This window comes from Homo sapiens, chromosome 17 (genome assembly GCF_000001405.40).
Source record: "Homo sapiens chromosome 17, GRCh38.p14 Primary Assembly".
Classification (NCBI taxonomy): domain Eukaryota; kingdom Metazoa; phylum Chordata; class Mammalia; order Primates; family Hominidae; genus Homo; species Homo sapiens.
This window is the reverse complement of record NC_000017.11, coordinates 21,063,754-21,069,753: the sequence shown is the minus strand read 5'-3', so window position 1 is coordinate 21,069,753 and position 6,000 is coordinate 21,063,754. Positions and strand designations below refer to the sequence as shown.

The window sequence follows — 6,000 nt, the reverse complement described above, 5'->3', positions numbered from 1 at the left end:
TCCCACCTGGCCTTCTGTTGGCTGGCTGGTCCAGAAGGAACATGTGATCGTTTCCTGTGGCTGCTGTAACAAACTACCACAAGCTTAGTGGCTTAACACATTTGATCTCAGGAGAATGTTTCTGGAAGTCAGAAGCCTGAAATAAGCTTCACAGGACAAAAGTCAGGGTGTGGGCAGAGCTGGTTCCTTCCAGAGGCTCGAGGGGAGAACAAGTGTCCTTGTGTCTTTCAGCTTCCAGTGGCCACCTGTGTTCCTGACCAAGCCCTATTCTCACGTCACTACATCCCCTCTGTTGTCACGTCTCCTGCTGCTGCTCCTCCTGCCCCCCTCTTATGAGGCCCTGTGATTACATTGAACCCACCTGGTTGGTCCAGGGTCATCTCCCATACAGGCACAGTGGCTCACGCCTGTAATCCACAGGTCCTGGGGATTAGGATGTGGTCCTTCCGTAACCATTATTCAGCCTGCCACTTTGGAGGGCTTTGGAATTCCAGGAACTGGGGGAGAACTTTTGCTCCGCCCCTTACCAATCCTGCTGTCTGAACTCCTTCCTCAAAAAGGAAGCAGAAATATTAACATCTAACATTTAACTAAGTGAAATGAAATGATGCTGGGGGCAGTGGCTCACACCTGTTATCCCAGCGGTTTGGGAGGCCGAGGCGGGAGGATCGTTGAGGCCAGGAGTTTGAGATTAGCCTGGGCAACATAACAAGACCCTATCTCTAGAACTCTACCAAAAAAAAAAAAAAAAAAAGATTAGCTGGGCATGGTGGCACACATTGTGTAGTCCCAGATTCTTAGGAGGCTGAAGTAGAAGGACCACTGGAACCTGGGAGTTTGAGACTGCAGTGAGCTGCGATCAGGCCACTGATTCCAGCCTGGGCAACAGAGCAAGACCCTACCTCAAAAAAAAAAAAAACCACAAGAGAAAAGATGACTCTGGATTCAGGGGACCAGAGGAGGAGGCAGGGTCACTGTCTGTGGACCTGGCAATGGATGTGGAGAGGAAAGGAAGTAGATATTCTCTGGGGGAGGAATGATCAGGACTTCGTGATGGATAAGAAGAAATAAATGTATGAAAGCCGGGAGAGCTCCTAGGGCAGAGAGAACCATGTGAGGGGGTAAAGGGGAAGCAGTTACAAGTATTTACTGAGGGGCAGGTACCTGCCTATAAAGGGAGAGAGAAAACAAACATGATAAAAGTAATTTAATGTGGACAAATAGAAAGCAGGTTAAAGGGAATTTGAATGCTGAATAAGGAGGTGGTGCAAGTTTAATAGGATGGTCAAGAAGAGCTCACCGAGAAAGGGACCTTTGAGCAACTTGGCAAGGGAGCATGCTGTATCCAGGGAAGAGCCTTCCAGACCACAGGCATCAGGTGCAAAGGTCCTGGGGCAGGAATGTTCCTGGTGTTTTGGAGGAGCTGGAAGGAGTGGGAGTGTGGCTGGAGTGGACCAGAAAGGGGACAGTGGAGGAGATGGCCATGGAGGAATGGCTGGTTGTAAGGGCCTGGGTTGTGTGTGTGTGTGTGTGTGTGTGTGTGTGTGTGTGTGTGTGTATGGTAAAATATGCAAAACATAATATGTTTATCATTTTAACCACTTTTTATAATTTTTTTTTTTGAGACAGAGTCTCACCCTGTCACCCAGTCTGGAGTGCAATGGTGTGATCTTGGCTCACTGCAACCTCCACCTCCCGGGTTCAGGTGCTTCTCCTGCCTCAGCATCCTGAGTAGCTGGGATTACAGGCGTGTGCCACCACGCCTGGCTAATTTTTTGTATCTTTAGTAGAGACAGGGTTTCACCATGTTGGCCAGGCTGGTCTCGAACTCCTGACCTCGTGATCTGCCCACCTCGGCCTTACAAAGTGCTGGGATTACAAGCGTGAGCCACCGCGCCCCGCCCCACTTTTTATAATTTTAATGCAATACTTTAAAACTTTTTTTATTGAGGTGAAATTCACAGAATATAAAATTAAGCATTTTAAAGTGTACAATTCAGTGACATTAAGTGCATCCATAATGTTATGCAGTCACCACCTCTATCCAGACACTTTCATCACCCCATAAGGAAATGTCGTTCCCACTAAGCAGTGACTGCCCCTTTGCTCCTCCCCTGGTCCCTGACAACTACTAATTTACTTCCTATTCTGGACATGTCATATACGTGGAATTGTACAATGTGTGGCCTTCTGTCTGGCTTCTTTCACTCAGCATCATGTTTTTGAGGTTCATCCATGTCGTAGCAGGCATCAGTACTTCATTCCTTTTTATGGCAGAATGATATTCTGTTTTATGGATATACCACATTTTGCTGATCCATTCATCTGTTGACAGATGTTTGGGTTTTTTTTTTTTTTTTCAGATGGAGTTTCACTCTTCTTGCCCAGGCTGGAGTGCAATGGCGCGATCTTGGCTCACTGCAACCTCCCCCTCCCGGGTTCAAGCAATTCTCCTGCCTCAGCCTCTGGAGTAGCTGGGATTACAGGCATGTGCCACCACGCCCGGCTAATTTTGTATATTTAGTGGAGACGGGGTTTCTCCATGTTGATCAGGCTGGTCTGGAACTCCAGACCTCAGGTGATCCGCCCGCCTTGGCCTCCCAAAGTGCTGGGATCACAGGTGTGAGCCACCGTACCCGGCCTGGGTTGTTTTAAGGACTTTGCTTTGATGCTGAGTGAGGTAGGGGACATTGCAGGGTTCTGAACAGGGAGGGGACAGGACGTGGCTGAAGTGAAGAAGAGAAAGGGAAGGAGATCTGTTAGGTTTTAGAGTAGTCATCTAGGTAACAGATAAAGGTGGCTTGGCCCAGCATGGCAGCAGCGAGGGTGCTGGATCTATTTCAAGATGCACTGGGATTAGCTGGTGGGCAACACAGACACCTGCAGGGAGAGCCTCCCGCATGCTCTGCGAGCCCCTCCACTCTGTGGCCGGCTCTGCTTACTGTCCTGCCAGCTCCTTAATCTGCTGGGGTGCCATCTGGGTGCAGAGGAGGGTGCAACCAAGGGAGAATGGAAAACAGAGCCCTTTATCATGTGAACAGGAAAAATCTGTGACCTGCAAGGCACATCTGGAGGATAGAAATGAAAGCCAAGTGCTCCATCTCCATTCTGGAGATCAGCTGAGTCATCTGGCCTAAGACTGGTGGCCAGACCTCTCCCTCCTCTCTCCTCTGCACCACAAAGCCGCCCCGAGCTGGGTAGACCCTGGAAACTCATGACACAGCATGCATCTGTTCAGCTGCCATCACCCTTGGGCCTCAGGCATCCTGATGCCAGAGAGCAAGGCACCCAATGTAGGGCTTTACCTCTGTGGTTCCCTGGCAGAAGAGAGTAAGAGCTGCCCCCTCACCCTGGTGGCACATCTGAGGCCACTGGTGCCTTGAAAACACCAAGGAGTGGCGTGCTGTCTGGTTCTTGCTCCTCACAGAGCAAGACTTTCAGTGTCTGAATAGCCAAGTGTCAAGCACATATTGAGAATGCCTGGCAGAAGGGGGCTGGAAATTTCTGGGGATCTGACTTCTTGGCCCCTCCAAAGCCCCCAGTATGGACAACTCTGGTGCTAGAGCCCCGGGAAGTGTGAAGTTGGCCAAGTTTGGCCTTGACAGATGCTTTCCCTACTCCTGGGTTAGGAGGCAGCTACTCAGCTCCCCTCCCTGTCTTGCCTGAGGCTTTTGGGGTTACCTTCCATAGGCAGTTTATCTTTATTATGAGACAAATATGACATTAACAGGAAGTATGAAAATCAGAAAGAACCCATCTCTGGCCCACTGTGTGGCAGAGCAGCAGGCACACTGGGAAGAACTGGTGTTGGGGATGTGACATTGTATGAGCTTGGACAGGTTGTCTGATTTGCCTGGTCCAGATCTCCTCGTCTGTAAAGTGGGGTTAATGACCGCCCCCCGACCTGTGGAATGCTGCATCTCGCACACCCGACATGATGCCTGGCACACAGTGCTCGCTCAGTCCATGCTGTCACGGTGCTGAGGAGGATGCTGGTGTCCATAGGATTCCTCCCAGCTTGTGTCCATGGACTTCTGCATCGTGTGGTGCATGTGATGATTGGGACAAATGTATTAAGGGAGGAGACCACCCCTCATATTGTCTTATGCCCAATTTTTGCCTCCAAAGAAAGACGAAGTAAAAACTGAAAGGCAAAAATGAAATCCACAAGCAGACAGCCTGGCGCCACACCGTGGGCCTGGTAGTTACAGATGGACCCCTGACCTAATCGGTTATTTGCATAAAAAAGCACTGTGAAGACCCCTGTCCTGTTCTGTTCCATTCTAATTACCGGTGTATGCAGCCCCCAGTCACGTACCCCCTGCTTGCTCAATCGATCACGACCCTCTCACGCGGACCCCCTTAGAGTTGTGAGCCCTTAAAAGGGACAGGAATTGCTCACTCAGAGAGCTCAGCTCTTGAGATAGGAGTCTTGTCAATGCTCCTGGCTGAATAAACCCCTTCCTTCTTTAACTCGGTGTCTGAGGGGTTTTGTCTGTGTCTCTTCCTGCTGCAGTATGACTCATGTTACCATGTGCCAGATTGCCCTAAATTCTCTTTTTGTTTGTTTGTTTGTTTTTTGGAGGCAGAGTCTCACTCTATGGTCTAGGCTGGAGTGCAGTGGCATGATGTTGGCTCACTGCAACCTCTGCCTCTGGGTTCAAGCTGTTCTCCTGCCTCAGCCTCCCAAGTAGCTGGGACTACAGGGGCATGCCACCATGCCTGGCTAATTTATTAATTTTTATTTTTGTAGAGATGGGTTTCGCCATCTTGCTCAGGCTGGTCTCAAACTCCTGGGCTCAAGTGATCCACCCGCCTCAGCCTCCCAAAGTGCTGGGATTACAGGCATGAGCCACCACACCCAGACTGCCCTAAATTCTTTACTCTTTGAAACTCATTTAATCTTTATAACAGCCCCATAATGTGGATATTGTCATTACCCCATGTTACAAATTAGGAAACTGAGGCAGCAACTTGCTCAAAGTCACATGCCTGTAAGCACTGCAGACAGAATTGGAACCTAGGCAGTCTGGTCCCAGACCTAGGCTCTTTTATTTATTTATTTATTTTTTTATTAAGTCTTGCTCTGTCACCCAGGCTGGGGTGCAGTGGCGCAATTTTGAGACTAAGTCTCGCTCTGTTGCCCAAGCAGGGATGCAGTGGCGTGATCTTGGCTCACTGCAACCTCTGCTTACTGGGTTCAAACTATTCTCATGCCTCAGCCTCCTGAATAGCTGGACTTACAGCCATGCACCACCATGCCTGGCTAATTTTTGTATTTTTAGTAGAGACGGGGTTTCGCCATGTTGGCCAGGCTAGTCTCGAACTCCTGACCTTAAGTGATCCGCCCTCCTCAGCCTCCCAAAGTGCTGGGATTACAGGCATTAGCCTTTAATAATTACTACAGGGCCTGAAGCCATGTCCAGCCACTTTCTGACTTTAATCGTGACACAAGATGCTTTACTTTGTCCCCTTAGAGGCATGTATTCCATATTCCTAGCTATTTTAGAAATTATGTCTTCTGTGCTTTCTTTTATACAGAGGAGAATTCTAATAGCCAAACTATTTCAACAGGCCCTCGTGTGCTAGGGCCTTTCATTGAGTGAATATGCAAGGTTCTCTCATTAAGTAAAGATGAATTAGGAGCAAAACAACCAAATGATGAAGATGAATGAGACTGAGACAAGGACTGTGGCCAAAGCCCACATTCCACTGACTTCAGGATGTAGTCTCCTGCATTCTGTGGGGACGATACCCTCTGATGCTTGTATCCACTGTCACCTTGGGGAGGTGATTTGAGTTCCCAGAGGCTCCGTTTACCTGTCCACAAGAATGGGATGAAAGCACACACCTCACAGGATTATGGCAAGGGTCACAAGAGATCAGATGTGGAAAAGCCCTTTAACACCTACAAAGAGGCCGGGCGCAGTGGCTCACGCCTGTAATCCACACACTTTGGGAGGCCGAGGCAGGCAGATCACCTGAAGTCAAGAGTTTGAG

The 6,000-nt window shown here is 49.2% G+C and overlaps 1 annotated feature.

Moving 5' to 3' along the window:
- Positions 2,356-2,856: an enhancer, noted in NCBI's record as "H3K4me1 hESC enhancer chr17:20970211-20970711 (GRCh37/hg19 assembly coordinates)". NCBI's record gives its function as "activates a minimal SCP1, AML or CMV promoter by ChIP-STARR-seq in naive H9 embryonic stem cells {active_cell/tissue: H9 hESC(naive)}" and the evidence as "EXISTENCE:reporter gene assay evidence [ECO:0000049][PMID:30033119]".